This window comes from Homo sapiens, chromosome 7 (genome assembly GCF_000001405.40).
Source record: "Homo sapiens chromosome 7, GRCh38.p14 Primary Assembly".
Taxonomy (NCBI): domain Eukaryota; kingdom Metazoa; phylum Chordata; class Mammalia; order Primates; family Hominidae; genus Homo; species Homo sapiens.
The window spans coordinates 88,617,942-88,641,507 of NC_000007.14; the positions used below are offsets into that span (position 1 = coordinate 88,617,942).

General features: G+C 35.6%; 1 pseudogene, besides 1 other annotated feature; it reads left to right on the forward strand.

Moving 5' to 3' along the window:
- Window positions 16,951-17,943: an enhancer, noted in NCBI's record as "OCT4-NANOG hESC enhancer chr7:88264206-88265198 (GRCh37/hg19 assembly coordinates)". NCBI's record gives its function as "activates a minimal SCP1, AML or CMV promoter by ChIP-STARR-seq in primed H9 embryonic stem cells {active_cell/tissue: H9 hESC(primed)}" and the evidence as "EXISTENCE:reporter gene assay evidence [ECO:0000049][PMID:30033119]".
- EEF1A1P28 (eukaryotic translation elongation factor 1 alpha 1 pseudogene 28) lies at window positions 21,011-22,681 on the forward strand (annotated as a pseudogene).
- The last annotated feature ends 885 nt before the right edge of the window (window positions 22,682-23,566 follow it).

Genomic DNA, 23,566 nt, shown 5'->3' on the forward strand with positions numbered 1-23,566 from the left:
CATTTCACCAATTGGGGAAATTTTGGGGATATAAGTGGCAGGATTGGGCAAATTATTAGATTTGTACAGCAAGAAAGGCATAATGGGAACATTTCAGAGCAGTTTGAAGGGTTGGGATTCTCTAAATCATATGAATGCTCCTAGATATCTTTATTTCAATTACCAGAATTTTCCTAATTTCCTATTGGTATCATATCTTTCATATAAAATAATTAGTGAGTTGTGAATTTAATTGATATTGTAGTTAAGCCACTGATGGAATCAATATCGGCATTTGACTTTTAGCAGCTTTAGCTCTATGGCTAAAAGCGATAGGAGATTTGTTTGGTTGTTTCTAGTATGGTTAACATGCAGTACCCAAGTATCAATCTGAGCCTTGAGGTAAGATTTTTAAGACTTGCTTTTAGCATGCTTTCACTTTAAATTACTTGATGCCATTGGATGTAGCAAAGATACTACTGTGGCTGAGAAATTTTTCATCCATTGTTTTTTCTCTTGTAACCACAGTTAATAAATTGATTGGCTAATTTGCTGCATTGTACCATGGGCTGGTATTTTCTCATCCTGGAAAAATGAGAGAGTATCTCAATGCTTTTTGCTTCACACCAACCTAAGAAAAATTCAAGGAAGTTAACTTTCTCTGAGGATCTGTGGCCCTTGCCCTGCTCCTAGTATCTACTTCTGTACGTGTTTAGGTGTTATGGTTGCAAACGATAGACACACTGTGGTAGTGCCTTCTGATCCTAAGTTCCTACAGATTGACCATCATTACATGGTTATGTTGCATATAATGTGGACCCAATAATATGTATTTTCATTCCTTTACAACCTGTTGACAATATAGCAACATGGCATTGGAGGCATAATGCAAAATTATACATAGAGCTTAGGCATTAGATCCAGGTGAAGTGGCTTGCTAAATAATTTTAGCATCATAATAGGTCATTTTTATGTAATTTCAGGGCCATAAATTGATGGTGTTAGAAGCCTGTGAGTCGCTTCTTATGGCTTCCTGTGACCTTTCAGAATCTGAGGCCTAAGTAGAATATCTTCTCCACTATCCTGAGAATATTATCCTTGACAAACTGGAGAGTCTTGAAAAGTACCACTCATCCCAAATCTTCTACCTTTGTATCTCCTAGTATTCCCTCTTGATAATACATCTTCTGTATTTTTTATGATGAATTGTAACTTCGATAAGAATGCTATGCCAGAATTGTTTTTCTCCCAATCTCTATCTCGCCAACTCTTCTAAAGGACTAATTCAGAAACTTTGATTCACATGATTTAAAAAATAGAGTGTTTTTTGGAAGGAAAATGGTATAGTTTACAATCAAATAGCTGGACAACCAGGTCTCAGGAAGAGCAGAAAATACAACTTAGACAATGAGAAAATTTATTGGTTAATGTGGCTGCTATAGGAGCACATTAGCATTGGTTTTATCCAGCACTTCAAAACTTTCCCCTAGAAATTTGCTTCCTTCTATATCTCCTTCGTGTATCATGTCTCATTCTAAAGTTGACTTCTTTTGTTGTGTCATAAGATAACATTCATAAGCTCCTAAAGCTACATTCTTCCTTATTCAGAGAGTCAGAGAGAGAGAGAAAGAGAAATTTCTGCCTTAATCATTGAATAAAAGTCCTGAGATTTACTGTAACTGAACTAATTTAGCACTTGTTCATTCATAGAATGTCAAATACTAACTAGCTGACATAGGCATTAGTATGCTGGTAAGTGTTTAAAATAATATCTCAAAAAAGTAAACATGTATATATACACAAGTTTACTATAAATTTTACTGATGTATATAATCAATAGTAATGTATTTTATATTTTAACATTGCTAAAAGAGTAGATTTTAAGTTTTTTCACCACAAATAAATGGTAAGTATGTGAAGTAATATATATGTTAATTAAACTTGATTTAGTCATTCTAAAATGTACACATACTGCAAAACATCATGTTATATACCATAAATATATACAATATTTGTCAATTAAAACAAATTATAAAAACAAAGTCTTCCAAAAGTACAAAAATTTTTATTGATGTAAAATATATTTAGCTCTCAATTTACAAAATAATAGAATATACTATACTTTCACTGTAAATTCCATATGACCAATTAATTCCCACAGAATACATTTGCTAAACTCTTTGTTTTTTTCTTTTTTGAGATGGAGTCTTGCTCTGTTGCCCAGGCTGGAGTGCCATGGTGTGATCTCAGCTTGCTGCAATCTCCGCCTCCCACATTCAAGAGATTCTCCTGCCTCAGCCTCCTGAATAACTGAGACTACAGGCACACACCACCACACCCAGCTAATTTTTTATATTTTTTAGTAGAGACAGGGTTTCACCATGTTGGCAGGCTGTTCTCAAAATCCTGGCCTCAGGTGATCTGCCCACCTTGGCCTCTCAAAGGTGGTTGTAATTAAACTATGATTTGAAAATATCCTAATTGTTGGGAAATCCCATTGATTCTTTCATTGGTAATGTGAGGGAATTATTTGCTCATTTGGACAATAATATTTAAATAACAGAAAGATATATTTTGTTTGCATACCAATACAATGTCTCTGACTCCAGAGTTAGGAAAAGATGTGCAGTAGCATACCTTTATACAGTATTTTCTTCTGTTTTCACTGTTAAAGTAAATATAAATTTCAAGATCATAAGTACTATAAAATTTAGTAAAATATTTTAAAGGTATGAATTAATATATTTTTGCTTTAATATATTTTAGTTATAAGTTCATATAATTTTTAAAATAATGGCTGTGTTTAGTAACTGACTTGCAAATTTTCAAGAAATTTAGCAATTGGCTCTCATGAGCTGGTATGAGCTAGCTCTAGTACACTGTAGGCTGAGGTACAGGTTATGTCCTCACCCCAGACTCAGAAACTGTGGCATGGGGGTGGATTATGCTGTTGACTTTAGCAAATTAAGACAAATCTTGAACTAGTGGTCAGATAATATCATCCAAACCACATGAATGGAACACTGAGATACTGCTAAGAAGGGGAAAACTGATGCTGGGGAGGCAAGCAAAAAAAGGGAACATCACACACCAGGACCTGTTGTGGGGTGGGGAGAGTGGGGAGGGATAGCATTAGGAGATATACCTAATGTAAATGATGAGTTAATGGGTGCAGCACACCAACATGGCACATGTATACATATGTAACAAACCTGCACGTTGTGCACATGTACCCTAGAACTTAAAGTATAATATATATATATGAAACACACCACACACACACACACACACACACACACACACAGTTTGCCACCAACAGGAGCCCAGGCATCCCCAGGGACTGTTGCAGCAGGAACTTGGGAGCCTTTGCTAAAGTGCTGCATTGGCATAACTCAGCGTGTGTGTGTGTGTGTGTGTGTGTGTGTGTGTGTGTGTGCAGAGAGAGAGAGAGAGACAGAGATAGAGAAAGAGAGAAAGGGAGAGAGAGAGAGAGATTTATTCTAAGGAGTTGTCTCACGTTATTACAGAGACTGAGAAGTCCAGACTCATGAGAGTCAATGGTACTGTTCCAAATGAAGTCTGAGTCTCAAGGCAAGAGGAGACCAATGTCTCAGTTTGATGACAGTCAGGCAGCAGGAGATTATTTCTTACTCAGCCTTTTATTCTATTCTATTTAGGTCTTCAAAACATGGGATGAGGCCCACTACATTGGGGAGGGCGATCTGCTTTACTGTCTACCCATTTAAATGTTAATTTCATCCAGACATACCTAAAAATGATGTTTAAAAAATATTTTGGGCATCATGTGACCCAGTCAAGTTGACACATAAAATTAACTATCACACGAAGGTTGTGTGACTCTGCTCAACTTTATAGTTCCTGGGAGAAAAATATGATTGACAACATCAGAGTTAATGGGCAAAAGCTGGAAGTATTCCCCTCAAGAACTGGAATAAGACAGGATGCCTTCTCTCACCACTTCTATTCAACATAGTATTAGAAGTCCTCACCAGAGCAATCAGGCAAGAGGAAGAAATATAAAGCATCCAATAGGAAAGAAGAAGGCAAACTATCTCTCTTCACTGACAATATGATTCGATACCTAGAAAACCCTAAAGACTCCACCAAAAGGCTCCTGGAACTATAAACAAGTTCAGTAAAGTTTCAGGATACAAAATTAGTGTAAAACTATCAGTAGCATTTCTATACACCAATAACATTCAAGCTGAGAGCCAAATCAAGAATGCAATCCCATTTACAATAGCTACAGAAAAAATAAAATACCTAGGAGTACCTCTAACCAAGGAGATGAAAGATCTCTATAAGGAGAACTACAAATCACAGTTTAAAGAGATCATAGATGACACAAACAAATGGAAAAGCATTCCATGCTCATGGGTTGAAAGAATTAATATCATTAAAATGGCCATACTGCTCAAAGCAATCTACAGACTCAGTGCTATTCCTATCAAGCCCAGCAATGTTATCTTTCACAGAAATAGAAAAACTATTCTAAATTCATATGGAACCAAAAAAGAGCCTGAACAGCTAGAGCTTTCCTAACAAAAGGAACAAAGATGGGGGCATCACATTATCTGACTTCAAACTATGCTATAACACATAATCAAAACAGCATGGTACTGGTACAAAAACAAAGACACATAGACAAATGGAACAGAATAGAGAACCCAGAAATAAAGCCACACAGCTACAGTCATCTGATCTTTAACAAACTTGACAAAAACAAGCAATGGAGAAAGGACTTCCTATTGAATAAATGATGTTAGGATAGCTGGCTAGCCATATGCAGAAGAATTAAACTGAACCACTATCTCTCACTATATACAAAATTCAACTGAAGATGGATTAAATACTTAAATGTAAGATCTCAAATTATAAGAATCCTAGAAGAAAAGCTATGAAATACTATTCTGGACATCAGTCTTGGGAAAGAATTTATGATTAAGCCCTCAAAAGCAATTGCAACAAAAACAAAAAACTTGGCAAGTGGGACCTCATAAACTCAATAGCCTCTGCACAACAAAACAATCAACAGAGGAAAGAGACAACCTATATAATGGGAGAAAATATTTGCAAACTAGGCATGTGACAAAGGTCTACTATAGAGAATCTAAAAGGAACTTAATTCAAGAAGCAAAAAGCAAATAACTGCATTAAAAATTAGGCAAAAGACATGAACAGATACTTCTCAAAAGACAGACAAATGGCCAAGAAGCATGTGAAAAAACGTTCAACATCACTAATCATTGGAGAAATGCAAGTCAAAACCACAGTGAGATACAGTCTAATACAAGTCAGAATGGCTATTACTAAAAAGTCAAAAAATAACAGATGCTCGTGAGGCTGCAGAGAAAAGGGAACATGATACACTGTTGGTGGGAATGTTAATTAGTGCAGCCACTGTGGAAAACTTTGGAGATTATTCCAAGAATCTGCAGCAGAACTATCATTTCACCCAGCAATCACATTACTGGGCATATACCCAATGGAAAATAAATTCTTCTACCAAAAAGACACATGTACTAAAATATTCATCACAGTACTATTCACAATAGTAAAGATGTAGAATCAACCTAGGCGCCCATCAGTGGCAAACTGAATAAAGAAAATGTGGTACATATATACCGTGGGATACCACACAGCCATAAAAAAGAATGAAATCATATCCTTTGCAGCAACATGGAGGCAGCTGGAAGCCATTATTCTAAGCAAATTAGTGCAGGAAGAGAAAACCAAATACCTCGTGTTCTCACTTATTATAAGTGGGAGCTAAACATTGGATACTCGTGGACATAAAAATGGCAGCAACAGACACTGGGGACTATCAGAGGTGGTAGGAAGGAAGCAAGGCAAGAGTTGAAAAACTATAACGGTTAGGTACTACGCTCATTACCTGGGTGATGACAGCTATCATATCCCAAACCTTAGCAGCACTCAATATGCCCGGGGAACAAACCTGCAAATATATACCCTGAATCTAAAATAAAAGTTGAAATTACATAAACGACAAAATAATATGGTCGGTTCAGCTTAGAACACTAGGAGTCAACATTCTCTTAAAATTGCTAGATGAAACTGAAGTAGGCCAAAATAGTTCTAATCTATATTTGGTGTAATATAATTATCTCATTTTAATTCAAATAATTGATAATATATTTCCAAATTTAAACAAAATCTAAAAGAATTATATTTTTAGAAGTGAAATAATAAGTGCATCATGGGTAGGAATTTAAGGGACTATTTATCACTTTTGCTCTTAGATTTACAAAGTTGTCCAAAAAAAGAAAGAGGAAAAAAGTGGATAAAGCAATCTGATTTCTTGTGCATGTGTATTAATTGGATTAGGTTTGACTACAACTAACAAAACACCCATACAACAATGGTTTTAATAAGAATGATAAGTCTATTTTTTTAAAATTTAAATTTTTCTATTATTATACTTTAAGTTCTGAGATACATATGCAGAACATGCAGGTTTGTTACATAGGTATACACATGCCATGGTGGTTTGCTGCACCCATCAACCTGTCATTTACATTAGGTATTTCTCCTAATGCTATCCCCCAACAGGCTCCAGTGTGTGATGTTCCCCTCCCTGTGTCCACGTGTTCTCATTGTTTAGCTCCCACTTATGAATGAGAACATGCAGTGTTTGGTTTTCTGTTTTTGTGTTAGTGTGCTGAGAATGATAAATGGTGTTGGAAAAACTGGCTAGCCATATGCAGAAAACTGAAACTGGACCCCTTCCTTATACCTTATACAAAAATTAACTCAAGATGGATTAAAGACTTAAATGTAAGACCTAAAACCGTAAAAACCCTAGAAGAAAACCTAGGCAATACCATTCAGAACATAGACATGGGCAAAGACTTCATGACAATATTTTTATCAAGAGTATGGAATAAGTTAGTTGAAGGATGTTATGATGCTACACAGTGTCGGAAAACCACATTACTTTTCTCTTTTCCCTCTATAAAGACCAGGGTTCCCAATATGAACACATGGCAGGAAATGAATGCTTCAGTTCTAACATTGTACCCTCATTCCTGCCAGTTGAAAGGGCATGTTCTAGAAATTTTATACTTTTTTTCTGTTTACACTCCATTGCCAGGACTCATAGGTCTACTTCCATATTGCTACAAGGTAGGCTGAGAACTGTGGCTTCTGTTCTGGGACACCATGGTCCAACTACATATTAGAGGGAAATCTGTGAATTCGGAATAAGGGCAAATATTAAGAGAAAAGTATCCATTTCTGAAATGCCACAGAATTCCACTGGCTTCTTTTTAAAGAAAACCGATTTGCCTAGTATTACAAATAGTCTTACTGGCCGGGCACGGGGGCTCACGCCTGTAATCCCAGCACTTTGAAAGGCCGAGGCGGGCGGATCACTTGAGGTCAGGAGTCATCAGCCTGGCCAACATGGTGAGACTCCATCTCTACTAAAAATACAAAAATACAAAAATTAGCCTGGCGTGGTGGCGCACGCCTGTATTACCAGCTACTCAGGCGGCTGAGGCATGAGAATCGCTTGAGCCTGGAAGGCAACGTTGCAGCTAGCCGAGATTGGGCCACTGCTCTCCAGCCTGGGCGACAGAGAGAGACTCCATCACAAATATTATATATATATATATATATATATATATACACACACATATACGTATATGTATTTATATATATATATACACATATACGTATATGTATATATATATATACATATACGTATATGTATATATATATACATATACGTATATGTGTATATATATACATATACGTATATGTGTATATATATATATACACACACACACATATACATGCACACATACACATATATATGTATATATAATATATGTATAGTCTTACTGTCAAGAGTCTGTAAGAGTCTGGCTGCTGAAAATATTTGTTGATATAATGGTTCGTCACTTAAAAAAATTTTTAAGGTTCAAACTACTAGCAGTTTTAAAAAATACCTGGGGTTTAAAATGTTTAAGTAAGTACATTTATTTTAAAAGAAAATTGTATTTTACACTAATGAATGGAAAACCCATAATCACTTCCCATAATAGAGAGTAATCACACACATGAATAAAATGTAAGCAATCCTGGGTTTCTGGCTTGTTCAGATGCCAATTTTATTCTATAGAGTTTGGAAAATTCCTATTTTTTTTTGCTTTGTGTGGCTTTAATTCAATTCTTCTCTTATTTTTCTTTCTCATCATCTTTCTTTTCTTCACTTTTTCAGTGTTACTCAATTGTTTTCAATTTATCTATTAAATATTTAACATTGTGAGTAATAATACTCTTTTTCTGTGTGTATTAAAAATAGAAAATATTAAGCCATCTCTGAACCCATCACACAACTAAGAACTCAGTGTTACCAATAACTTTATTCTTGTCCTGTGTCCCTCACATCCCATTGCTCTGCCACTCCCCCAGAGCAATCTCTGTACTGAATTTTCTGTTTATCCTCCCTTGAATGTTTCCGATACATAAGTCCTCACTTAACTTTGTTGGGGTAGGTTCTTTGAAACTACAACTTTAAACAAAATGATGTATAATGAAACCAATTTTATCTGGGCTAATTTACCTAAACAAGTCAAGTTCCATGACATATTTCTGGTCACAAAGACATCACCAAACTTCTTAATAAAGACCCCAAACACGTCTAATATTAAACATTGAAATAAATGAATGTGAGCTCTACATACATTTAAGAAAGATTAATAAGAAGTAAGATAATCATTTATCCAATTTTTGGTGGATAAGTGAGTGATCATGGTCATAGTGATGGTGGGTTAAATGAAGAAATAAATGTTTGCAAAGAATAATTTTAAGGAGTACCTCCTACAACCGTGTAGTTCAAACAGATACAATAATGAATATCGGAGGCTCGCTGAGCACTTTTGTACCACATCATTTATTGTCATGCATTTGTATTTTTATTGTATATCTTGCAGATTTTTATTTTACAATAACTTGTATTAATTTATTCATTCATTTCCCAACCAGCTTATTTTAGTTCAGGGTCAAGGATGGCCAGAGCCTATCCCATAAGCTCAGGGCATAGGATGGAAACCAACCCTGGATGGGGACGCCAATCCATTGCAGGGTGCACAGGTACACAGACATACCCCTACTCATTTATATTGGGACAATTTGGACATGCCAAGTCACCTAACCGTGTACATCTTTAGGATGTGGGAAAAAACTGGTGTACACAAGAAAACCTACGCAGACGTGGAAAAATTTGCAAACTCCTCATGGTGGCCCTGCCAGGAGTGGAATTTTTTTCTCATCAAGTTTAAAGGTAATCGACATTGAACGAAACAATGTTATTTGAGGAACTGCTACAATTTCATTACATACTCAAGTATCCCTAAACAATATATTATATAATTTTTTTGTTTTTAGTTTTCTTATTATCTAGTGTAATATATTTACACCCAACTTATTGTTTGTATTTCCTGGCCAACCGATTAAGTTTCCTCTGAAAACTTGAAAAAAATATCCAGTAATATGCTAGCACAATTGTATCATGGAAAAAAACATATAGGGACTATAGTCAAAAGAAGCACAATATTTTTAAGCTGAGATTCTACAGCAATTCACATGTTCTTAAAGATTCTTCAAAGATGTCTGATAATGTTATATATAAATATGTCAACATAAGCTGTCAATGTGAGCTAGATTTAGTGATTTTAATTCACTATTTATTCAATCATAAAATTAAATAAGCATTATGTCTTGTTTCACTATTATCTATTTTTATATAATTTAACAATTTGAAACCATATTTTAATCTAACATTATCTTCATATAATTTTGTAAACAAAATGGACATTATTAAAGATACAGAATACTGGAACACACTGGGGGAAAATCCACTAGTGAAAGAATCTGTAGTATATGTTAGATGGAAAGGAAACCTTTCTTTGAGAGTAGATACATGTTCATTCATTCATTTGTTAATTATGTAATTGTTATTTTGAATCAATGATATGCTAGACATTCTAATCTATGTGTGGGGGGTGACCAAATACACACATGGATTTCTAGAATTTTAATAATAGACTCTAAATAGTTTAGCCACCAAAGACATATTTGCTTATAAACTGTGATTAGGGCTGGGAAGAAAATGAGCAGATAGCCATATCAGGTGGAAAATGACCAGAAAAATGGAAGATAGAAATAAATTTCCATAAGAGGCAAAAGGAAAAATTTATAGAGAAGATTTCAATAGGCTGATAGAATTTGTAAAGATTTTGGCTAAAGATAAGCTTAGAAAGGAAATTTAAGTATAGGAGAAACATAAGAAAAATCACAGGCATCCAAAAATGTGGGATTTGTTCAGAGAGTATCATGCAATTCTGTTCGTTGAACACTTAAACAGTATTGACTCTGCACCAAATACTGGCCTAAATATTTATCTTAGCTCATTTACTCTTTACAGTCACTATTTCAGGGAGATTCTATTATTTTTCCCATATTCAGATGAGGAAATTGAGGCATGGAGAGGACAAGAAACTTGCTTAAATGTACAGAACCCAAAGGGGATCACTATGAACCCTGACTGGATAGATAGTGAATAAAGCACTGAGGAAGTAATCTGAGATTCTAGTTTGCTCATCTACAGTGTATATTTAGGGTAAAATGAAATAGAAGGCCAAGTTTGCAATTCTTTGCATAAGAGTATGAGTATTAATTATTGATCCTTTCTGCAGTGGGAGATGGGCTCCAAAGGGAGTAATAAACATTAGTGTTTGGCAATGTTTGTTAATGTTTGTTAGACTTATATTTTGGGACTGGCATAGACTTTGGTTCACATTGTTTTTAATCCTCACAATACAATGATATGAAACAGGGTTTCTTTGAATTGTATTCATTCTGAGAACAGTATGACTAATTGTGAGGATTCCATAATAAGCAAAATAGAGAACTGAAATGTAGAGTTCATTCTTCTCTTTCCTTTAACAATCTGCAGCCCTGGGGGCAGTGCCCAGCTCAGAAGGAAAGTTCACAGCCTTAAAATGGTTGATCACATACTTGTGTTGAGAAATGTTTTGAAATAAATATTTCTTTGAAATTCAATCTTCTCTAAGATTGCCTTGATCCGAATTCTAAAGTACAACAGATTGAAGCGTAATTAGACAAATCTTCATTTATTTCTAGTTTGCTCACATGATTAACTTACATGTACAAGTTTCAGTAACTTTATTGCCGAGGAAAAGGAAGCTCAGTGTTTCCAGAGATTCCCAAGCTTTTCGTTTCATTGGGCCTTAGTCATGTTTTCACAATGTTATAAGACTGAAAGGAATACTTTAGAGTTTCATTTATTAAGCAATAAAGTCTAAACTTTATAAATGCTTGTGTCCTAGCAATGTCTTAGATGTTTAGGGAAAATAATACACATAAGTTACAAAAATAATATGACATTTAATTTTTAGATAAGCACAATTACTTACTAATGATATGTATGTATCTAGTGAATACTGCACAACTTCTCAGATACTAGATCCAGACTAGACATAGCCGGGACCCCCATTTTATCAGTTCTACATTGTGTTTTTTTACTGCTTACTTGCTTATCATTGTAGTAATCACTGAAAACAAAACTTTGCAAAGATATGCCATTGAAAGGAATGTAGTATAAACTACTGTTAAAACTGAACTACTTCAACCTACTAGTTTGCAGTATCTGACAGATGTTAAGTATCATTGTGTTTCCCTTAAAACTTTAAAATATTCCACGGTTCTGGGTGAATTTTGTGGTTTTAACCCAGGACACAATTGCACAGGTAGTGAAACATCAGTATACATGATTCAGCACATTTTTAGAATTTGACCTGAGCACATTTCAATTTGCATCCAAACATACTGGATTCAAAACACATATTCCAACCCTAATGTTTTTATTTCAGATAGATTATCCCATAGATGCATTATGTTGTTTGGGGGACTAAAAGTATGGATTCAAATCAAGTTTGAAATCCTTGTTTCACTATTCATTAGCTAGAAGTTTGTCTCTGAGCAAGTTATCTAAGACCTTTGAGCCTAGTTCCTTCATATATAATGTGGAAATAATAATAATAGGCACATCTCATAGTAGTTGTCAGAATTATAGTAAATATTATACTTCGAGTACCCAGTACAGTATTTGGCACCTTTGGGGCTACAGTGAATGTTATTTTCTTTCTTATTTTCTCTACAAAGAGAGATTTCCTCATGAAGTTAACCAAGTTTCTATTTTGAATAACACCATATATAAAATGAGAAATCTTTCTGTAAATACCATGAGGGCAATGATTCGTAAATTAGCAAAATGGAGACTAACACATAGGAGATCAGATGTTTAATTCTGGAGGATTTATGCCATTGCAACCATTAACAATGTCTTTCCTGATGGTAGTTTGCATTTCTGTGGGATCAGTGGTGATATCCCCTTTATCATTTTTTTATTGCATCTATTTGATTCTTCTCTCTTTTCTTCTTTATGAGTCTTGCTAGCAGTCTACCAATTTTGTTGATCTTTTCAAAAAACTAGCTCCTGGATTCATTATTTTTTGAAAGGTTTTTTGTGTCTCTATTTCCTTCAGTTCTGCTCTGATCTTAGTTATTTCTTGCCTTCTGCTAGCTTTTGAATGTGTTTGCTCTTGCTTCTCTAGTTATTTTAATTGTGATGTTAGGGTGTCAATTTTAGATCTTTCCTGCTTTCTCTTGTGGGCATTTAGGGCTATAAATTTCCCTCTACACACTGCTTTAAATGTGTCCCAGATATTCTGGTATTTTGTGTCTGTGTTCTCATTGGTTTCAAAGAACATCTTTAACACGTCTACGCAAATAAACTAGAAAATCTAGAATAAATGGATAAATTCCTGGACACATACACCGTCCGAAGACTAAACCAGGAAGAAGTTGAATCCCTGAATAGACCAGTAACAGGCTCTGAAATTGAGTCAATAATAAATAGACTACCAACCAAAAATTCCAGGACCAGACAGATTCACAGCCGAATTCTACCAGAGGTACAAGGAGGAGCTGATACCATTCCTTCTGAAACTATTCCAATCAATAGAAAAAGAGGGAATCCTCCCTAACTCATTTTATGAGGCCAGCATCATCCTGATACCAAAGCCTGGCAGAGACACAACAAAAAAAGAGAATATTAGACCAATATCCCTGATGAACATTGATGCAAAAATCCTCAGTAAAATACTGGCAAACCAAATCCAGCAGCACATCAAAAAGCTTGTCCACCATGATGAAGTGGGCTTCATCCCTGGGATGCAAGGCTGGTTCAACATACACAAATCAATAAACGTAATCCATCGTATAAACAGAACCAAAGACAAAAACCACATGATTATCTCAATAGATGCAGAAAAGGCCTTTGACAAAGTTCAATAGCCCTTCATGCTAAAAATTCTCTATAAATTAGGTATTGATGGGATGTATCTCAAAATAAAAAGAGCTATTTATGACAAACCAACAGCCAATATCATACTGAATGGGCAAAAACTGGAAGCATTCCCTTTGAAAACTGGCAGAAAACAGGGATGCCCTCTGTCACTACTCCTATTCAACATAGTGTTGGAAGTTTTGGACAGGGCACTCAGTCAGGAGAAAGAAATAAAGGGCATTCAATTAGGAAAAGAAGAAGTCAAATTGTCCATGTTTGCAGATGACATGATTGTATATCTAGAAAACCCCATTGTCTCAGCCCAAAATCTCCTTAAGCTGATAAGCAACTTCAGCAAAGTCTCAGGATACAAAATCAATGTGCAAAAATCACAAGCATTCCTATACACCAATAACAGACAAACAGAGAACCAAATCATGAGTGAACTCCCATTCACAATTGTTTCAAAGGGAATAAAATACCTAGGAATCCAACTTACAAGGGATGTGAAGGACCTCTTCAAGGAGAGCTACAAACCACTGCTCAACGAAATAAAAGAGGACACAAACAAATGGAAGAACATTCCATGCTCATGGATAGGAAGAATCAATATCCTGAAAATGGCCATGCTGCCCCAGGTAATTTATAGATTCAATGCCATCCCCATCAAACTACCAATGACTTTCTTCACAGAATTGGAAAAACTACTTTAAAATTCATGTGGAACCAAAAAAGAGCCCTGATTGCCAAGACAATTCTAAGCCAAAAGAACAAAGCTGGAGGCATCACGCTACCTGACTTCAAACTATACCATAGGCTACAGTAATCAAAACAGCATGGTACTGGTACCAAAACAGAGATATAGACCAATGGAACAGAACAGAGCCCTCAGAAATAATACCACACATCTACAACCATCTGACCTTTGACAAACCTGACAAAAATAAGCAATGGGGAAAGGATTCCCTATTTAGTAAATGGTGCTGGGAAAACTGGCTAGCCATATGTAGAAAGCTGAAACTGAATCCTTCCTTACACCTTATACAAAAATTAATTCAAGATGGATTAAAGACTTAAACGTTAGACCTAAAACCATAAAAACCCTATAAGAAAACCTAGGCAATACCATTCAGGACATAGGCATGGTCAAGGACTTCATGACTAAAACACCAAAAGCAATGGCAACAAAAGCCAAAATTGACAAATGGGATCCAATTAAACTAAAGAGCTTCTGCACAGCAAAAGAAACTACCATCAGAATGAAGAGGCAACCTACAGAATAGGAGAAAATTTTTGCAATCTACCCATCTGACAAAGGGCTAATATCCAGAATCTACAAAGAACTTAAACAAATTTACAAGAAAAAAACAAACAACCCCATCAAAAACTGGGCGAAGGATATGAACAGACACTTCTCAAAAGAAGACATTTATGCAGCCAACAGACTCATGAAAAAATGCTTATCATCACTGGCCATCAGAGAAATGCAAATCAAAACCACAATGAGATACCATCTCACACCAGTTAGAATGGTGATCATTAAAAAGTCAGGAAACAACAGGTGCTGGAGAGGATGTGGAGAAATAGGAACACTTTTACACTGTTGGTGGGACTGTAAACTAGTTCAACCATTGTGGAAGACGGTGTGGCGATTCCTCAGGGATCTAGAACTAGAAATACCATTTGACCCAGCCATCCCATTACTGGGTATATACCCAAAGGATTATAAATCATGCTGCTATAAAGACACATGCACACGTATGTTTATTGTGGCACTATTCACAATAGCAAAGACTTGGAACCAACCCAGATGTCCAACAATGATAGACTGGATTAAGAAAATGTGGCACATATACACCATGGAATACTATGCAGCCATAAAAAAAGATGAGTTCATGTCCTTTGTAGAAACATGGATGAAGCTGGAAACCATCCTTCTCAGCAAACTATCGCAAGGACAGAAAACCAAACACCGCATGTTCTCACTCATAGGTGGGAACTGAACAATGAGAACACATGGACACAGGAAGGGGAACATCACACACCAGGGCCTGTTGTGGGGTGGGGGGAGGGGGGATGGATAGTATTCGGAGATATACCTAATGCTAAATGACGAGTTAATGGGTGCAGCACACCAACGTGGCACATGTATACATACGTAACAAACCTGCACGTTGAGCACATGTACCCTAGAACTTAAAGTATAATAATAATAATTAAAAAAAAAATCTCTTCCCTAATAACAGGTATGTGAGTGGCAAGTAAGAAGCGAGAGGCTGAGAAGCAAGAAGTCAAGCAAAAGGCAGCTAGATTTAGAAAGTAGGAACAGACATACCCTATATCAAAAGATGTTCCATATGTTCCCCTCAAAAAAAAGTTATAGGAAAAATTATTTTTTAGTTTTTTTTCCAATTTTTGAGAGTACCATTGCTCAGAATTGTCATTAAGATCAAGAATTCCTAATGCATTTTTTTTATGTGTATGTTATGTGTGATTGTGTGGCTGACGAAACCATTGAACCAGTGGATTTCACTACCCATTCTACTCATCTTTCCGCAGATCTGACATAGGTAGTTGGGAAAATTATTTCTGGAGAAGAATCTCATTCATTCAAAATTCCTTAGAGCTATATGAGATCATTAATAAAGGTTTTCTCAATTAACTACTAAATCAGCAATTAAGGCAAAGAGATCTACCACAAATAAAAGGATTAAAAATTCAGTCACATCTAGTAATGATGGATATTCGTCACACACAGTCTTTAACTGTAAACTATGACTCTCCCTGCCAATTAAACATAACAAAAAGAGGAAAGGTTAGATGGTTTTCAAGTGGTCAAACTGCCAAGCCAGTAATGAGATTGTATGGTATAGCATAACACTTTTAAAAAAAAGTATACATGTTTTAAAACACAATTTTAAAATAGCTTGAAATATATTTCAGCTAAGTTAAAACTGATCAGGCACATTTATTTGCAGGACCACATAAAATTGCAGTAATGGAAAGGCAGCATGATATACTAATAGTTATAGCTACACCCTACACTTGCATAGAGCAGCATATATGCCAGACCACGTTTTAATTATTAAATATAATGTAAAAATGCTAAAAGTAGAGTACAATAACCTAGAGAATTCCTTTATATTTAAATTTATTAAGATAAAAACATAGAATTTTAAAAACTTGGATACGTTCATTTTGGTTTAACAGGATATGTAAAGTCTCACAAAAATTGAAAAAGCCTATAACCCAACATCTTCCCCTCTTTTACTAGATGGCAACATTTTCTTTAACATTTTTTAATGTTGGCCAAAGCTCCCGTTATTAGCCCTGTGATGAGTGAGTTTTGGCAGTCTAGAGAAGATAGTACTAGTTCTACAGGGCAGTGTTACAATTTTTCTTAAATTTTTTCCTTGCCCATGACTAATTACATGTAGACCTTTTGTAAATTAAGAATTTCAAGTTTCATGCTAATTTATATGACTGCTAGCAGCCTTTACTCAAAGAGTAGCTTCTGTTTATATCTTTATCAAATGCTGCTCTATCTAGTCGGCTTTTTCATGATTGCAAATCTGAAGGAGTATTTTTTTCTGTCTTAGAAAGCATGACTGCAAATCTGAAGAAGTATTTTGTGTGTGTGTCAATGCAAAAATTGCACTGGACAAAGTTAAATAAGTAAGGAAGACTTTATTCAGGGCCGTTACAATAGGGGAGCAAGACCATAATACAATCTGAACTCACCTTTGCTGAAACAAGGGGTGAGAAAGTTTAAAGCGCTGGAGTAAGAGGGAAAACATAGGCCATTTGTATTGGCTCATTGGCTTTACCCAAAGGACAAGTAAACTTTCTTTTATCTTTGTGACAGGAGGTAATTTTACAATTTGGAGCAAGCCACCCACTCAGGAAGTTAAGCTCCAATGTTCTTACAGAGACCTGGAGGTAACACTTTATCTTCCTTGATAGTTACATATCAAAGGGATGGCTCCTGGATCCTTGAGAAAGACAATCCTGAGTTGTGAAACTGGTAAGAGGCTTTTAGAAAGATTTACATCTCAAAGGGGCAGATAAAGGATTTACAATTAAAGTTTTCTGAAGTAAATGCTGTAAGAAAAGGGAGGTCAAGGGGCCTAGCTAGAGTCAAGAAAGAGCCTGTCTAAAGCTTAATCAAGCTGGAAAGAACTTTAAGCCCATCTTGATCGCAAGTATTAACAGAGATTCAGTTGTGAAAACTGATGAGAACCCTATAATAATGGCAAATGGTTGGGATGCAGAAGCTATCCCAGTGTTTAATCTTACCAGAGTTTATTATGATTATGATGATGTACTCATTAGGTGCATTTAAGAAATCACCATGAACCCCATTCATAAGGTGAAAGTGTATTGTGTCCATGTACATGTGAGTCAGACCTCTCATTAATTCTCACCCCTCCCACAGAAATGTGTGAGAAAAACATGGAACATTTTTAAATTGCACGTGTTTTCATAATCTTTGTTAATCTGACACAAAATGGACCGTATTTATACTTCGAATCCTTGTAGCCCATCATTTTCATGGTGGACTGTTATGATGTACAGTGGGCCTCTGTAACCTCCAATATCAGGCTTTCAGTTAATTATGTAAATTATCACTGGAGTATAATAGAATTAACCTAGAATTTAAGGTGGGAAAAATAAGGTGAAATTGTGGGTAGATTTATACCTTTGTCAAAAAGACTTTTCTAATTTAGAATGTTCCAAAGGTAGAATTGATTGGGTTGGGAGGTAGAGAACTCTCTGTTAATCAGAGTATTCGAACTGAAACTTCATATAAGACATAATCAAAAGAATCAATAAATTGGTTGAAAAAAAAGTATTATTGACCTCTAAGGCCCTCTTTTTAACTTCACAGTATTTAGATTTGCCATCTGTCCAGCCAAAGTTATTACCACTTTCTTATTCAATTATTATTGCTTGAATGCTAGTTATAATTCTTTGAATTCCCATGTTTTTGTTTCATAGATTTAGTTAGAATATTAAATGAAGTATTACGCCTTGAATGTATTTGTTCTAAACATATGCAAAACAGAAACAAAAGTCTTCTAGCTCTCTATTTGCCCAAATTAACATGCAGTTGAAAAGTCATAATTAGTAGGTAATGTAAAGCAATAGAAACTTTGAAGGCCCTTAGCTTCCTGAAGAAAATTTTCATAACTGAAATTATCACTGGTTTGTATATACAAAGTTTCTCCCAATAATTTGGCAGTAGTTAGTATTTTAAAATCCTATCTAAGGGGTTTGTGTTGAATTTTTAATACATTCTTTTTTATTGATAATTTGGCTGAATATAAATTATAGTAAAGTATTCTGAAAAAGTTAAAAAATTCAGTCAGTTGTCTGGTACATTGTCTTTCTAATGAAAAGGACCCTGGAGTTTCCAAACATTCATTTTCCCCTACAATTTTATTGCATAAAGACTACTTCCAAAGATTGTAAACAAATGGGTCTTTTTTGTTCTTTTCATTTTTTCAAGAGTAGAATTTCCACTTCCTCTACCATTTCCATTTTTGGCAGATAATAATCATTTGGCATATTTTTATGATGCTTTGTACCACTTACTCTAGACATAAACATTTCCCCTTGAGAAGCTTTCTAAAGAGAGCATTTGACAACTACTTAAAAAATGATTGGATGATATTCTCAACATTTATCCATTACCCATTTTATATTTTGCTTAACAAAGAAATGCATTGAAGATAGACTTACAGTTCAAAAGAAACTCCAGGAGAAACAATTACTTTGGCACAAAAACTGTATTTCACTTCTTGAATTAGTTGATTTGGGAATCAGCAAACTGGAACCATAATTTTAAGTCCTAAGACATAATGCACATGCATTACACAGAGAATCTTGCCCTGAAGCTTGTAGTTAATGAAATAAACTATTGAAAAAAATGTAGCTTTGGAAAATGTTTTAAATGTAGTATTGTGCTCCAATTCTTTTTCGGTAAACTTTTTAATCTGTCAGGTTGAGGAAAATGTGATTGATTTCAAAAGTGTCACTCTGATAGAATAAAGCCACCTCAGAAAAGAAGAGATTGTTAAGGGCAAACAGGTACCAAAGCACTAGCTGATTCTACATGCAGAGTATTTGTATCATATATGAAGTTGTAAAGAATTCCCACATAACCTAACTAAATATATTTTGTGATTTGTAGTACTGAACAAATATTTGTTCCTGCTGCTTGTTTTTATTAAATATTGTAAACTCATGACCCATAGGCTGCATTTAATAAGTTTTGTTCAGTCTGCATATTTTTGTTTTTCTTTGTTCTTTTTCTGAATTTTAAAATGTGTTAACATTTAAAAATTGTATTTATTTAAATATCTTGGTATTTCTTGAAAAATTGAAACTCCAACTGTGTCGGGCCCCTGCCCCACATGGCATTCATATACCCATTTATTTATGTATCCATCTTTTCAATTAGTGAATAAATGTTTATTGAAAACTAATTATATGCCACACACTGATGTAGGAATTGGAAATATAGAAGGTCCCTGCTCTCATGAAGCTCCTATATTAGATAGAGAGGGAATGCACTTTTCCAGTTCATTACAAATAGCATTTCTCTTTATGTGTTTTAAATTATTTATTTAAATAATAATTAATTAATAAATAATAATAATTAAAAAAATTTAAATTATTTAAATTTATTTATGTGTTTTAAATTAAATTTTAAAAAAATTAAGTTAAAATTTTAATTCCTAGTCTATATACTTGGAATGAAAGATGACATAAAGTTAACTCTAAAGCAATTTTTTAAATTAATGTTTTTATTTTGCCTTGAGGACTTTTTTAAGATTAAAATCTGATACCTTAAAATGTATGAGTAAAATTATAATTTAGAAACTGGCAAAGATTGTAAATACTTATCATGTTTAACTAAAATGTCGGTTAACTATAGTCAGCTCTGATTTTTTTCTCATTTTCTGTTTATCAAACATTTATAGAGCATTAATTATGCACTATAAAATATTTTAGGTATGAAATTACATGCATGATAAGACATGACTCCTCCTCTTAATGTGAAATAAATTTAACACAATGTGATAGACTGTAATAGAGTTTACATACAAAGTATAATTCAGAATATTTAAAAAAGAAAGCCAAATTTTTCTTGGGAATTCAAGTAGGGTCTCACAGAAGAAGGGACATTTGGTTCTTTCTGAAAGAAGATGACAAAAATGAAAAGTAGTCATTTTCTAGGAATATAAGACCCAAGAAACAGAATGTACAAACCATGAAAACATAAGGTGTCATAATATAGAAAACTGATAGTCCTAAAATTTATTTAGTGAATGGTTCTGACTTACTTTTCAACAAATCTTTCTCTGAATCTGTTAATGCCGTGTTACTGAATGGTTGGGCTGTCAATCTCCTCTGCCGACATCGGCTTAGCTTAAGTGTACTTGTCAAACAGAAAAGCTTTTGGTTTCATCTGAGACCTACTGAAACAGAGCGCATTTGCATTTTTTGAAAGAGTCCTCTTTGATATTTACAACAATAGGCTGGTATAATATATTTTCCCGTAGAATTAACAAGGAAACAAAAAGTGTTCTATAAAAATAGTAGCGCTTTCTTTCCCCCAGTGGGTTTGCCACCAGAAAACAAGTATTGTGAAAACTACCCCAAGAGCCAAAATGGGAAAGGAACACACTCATATCAGCATTGTTGTCATTGGACACGTAGATGGGGCAAGTCCACCACTACTGGCCATCTGATCCACAAATGAGGAGGCGTCGACCAAAGAACCATTGAAAAATTTGAGAAGGAGGCTGCTGAGATGGGAACGGGCTCGTTCAAGTATGCCTGGGTCTTGGATAAACTGAAAGCTGAATGTGAACATGGTATGACTATTGATATCTCCCTGCCAAAATTTGAGACCAGCAAGTACTACATGACTATCATTGATTCCCCAGGACACAGACACTTTATCAAAAACATGATTATAGGGACATCTCAGGCTGACCGTGCTGTCCTGATTGTTGCTGCTGGTGCTGGTGAATCTGAAGCTGGTATCTCTAAGAATGGGCACACCCATGAGCATGCCCTTCTGGCTTACACACTGGGTGGGAAACAACTAATTGTTGATGTTAACAAAATGGATCCCACTGAGACACCCTACAGCCAGAAAAAATACAAATCCTTAAAGAAGTCAGCACTTTCATTAAGAAAATTAACTACAGCCCCTGGCACAGTAGTAGCATTTGTGCCAGTTTCTGGTTGGAATGGTGACACCATGCTGGAGCCAAGTGCTAACATGCCTTGGTTCAAGGGATGGAAAGTCACTCATAAAGATGTCAATGCCAGTGGAACCAAGTTGCTTGAGGCACTGGACTGCATCCTAACACCAGCTTGTCCAACCGACAGGCCCTCGCCCTTGCCTCTCCAGGATGTCTACAAAATTGGTGGTGTTGCTACTTTGCCTATTGGCGGAGTGGAGACTGGTGTTCTCAAACCTGGTAGGGTGATCACCTTTGCTCCAGTCAGTGTTACACACCTGAAGTAAAGTCTGTTGAAATGCACCATGAAGCTTTGAGTGACTCTTCCTCAGAACAATGTGGCCTTCAATGTCAAGAATGTGTCTGTCAAAAATGTTCATTGTGGCAATGTTGCTGGTGACAACAAAAATGATCCACCAACGGAAACAACTGGCTTCGCTGCTCAGGTGATTATCCTGAAGCATCCAGTCCAAATCAGTGCTGGCTATTCCCCTCTACTGGATTGCCACACAGATCACATTGCATGCAAATTTGCTGAGCTGAAGGAAAAGATTGATTGCCATTCTGGTAAGAAGCTGAAAGATGGCCCTAAATTCTTGAAGTCTGGTGATGTTGCCACCAAATTCTTGAACTCTGGTGATGTTGATATGGTTCTTGGCAAGCCCATGTGTGTTGAGGTCTTCTCAGACTATCCTCCTTTGGGTTGCTTTGCTGTTCATGATATGAGATGGAGAATTGCCATGGATGTCATCAAAGCAGTGGACAAGAAGGCTGCTGGAGCTGGAAAGATCACCACGTCTGCCCAGAAAGTTCAGAAGGCTAAATAAATATTATCCCTAATACCTGCCACCCCAGTCTTACTCAGTGGTAGAAGAATGGTCTCAGAACGGTTTGTTTCAATTGGCCATTTAAGTTTAATAGTAAAAGACTGGTTAACAATAACAATGCCTCATAAAACCTTCAGAAGGAAAGAAGGAGCACTTTTTTTTTTTTTGGCAAGTGGCAGTTTTGTTATTAGTTTTTAAAATCTGTACTACTTTTTTTTTTTTTTTTTTGAGACAGAATCTCACTCTGTTGCCCAGGTTGGAGTGCAGTGGCGTGACCTCGGCTCACTGCAACCTCCGCCTCCTGGGTTCAAGTGAATCTCCTGCCTCAGCCTCCCTAGTAGCTGGTACTAACAGGCGCTTGCCACCGTGCCTGGCTATTTTTTTTTTTTTTTTTTGTATTTTTAGTATAGATGGGGTTTTCCCATGTTGGCCAGGCTGGTCTCCAAATCCTGACCTCAGGTGATCTACCAGCCTCAGCCTCCCAAAGTACTGGGATTACAGGTGTGAGCTGCCTCGTCCAGCCTAAAATCAGTACTTTTTTTTTTTTTTTTTTTTGAGATGGAGTCTCGCTCTGTCGCCCAGACTGGAGTGCAGTGGTGTGATCTCCGCTCACTGCAAGCTCGCCTCCTGGGTTCACGCCATTCTCCTGCCTCAGCCCCCTGAGTAGCTGGGACTACAGGCGCCCGCCACCATGCCCGGCTAATTTTTTTGTATTTTTAGTAGAGACAGGGTTTCACTAAAATCAGTACTTTTTAATGGAAACAACTTGACCAAAAATCTGTCACAGAATTTTTAGACCCATTAAAACAAAGTTTAGTGAGAAAAAAAAATAGTAGAAACCTCAACTTATAAGTAATTGCTTATTGTAAACCATACACAATTGATTCCTAATTTATCAAAAAGTGTGTGGCCAGTTTTTTAAGTCAACTGTTTGGAACTCAGAATTTCCTACAGAAATTGCTTTATACATAGTGATCAATTCATAACCCATCAGAGAAATATCCATATCCTTCAATCAGGTACCAAAAGAATCCATTTGCCACACTCCTTTAAGGGCAATGATTTAGAGTTTTGACTTGGTCTTG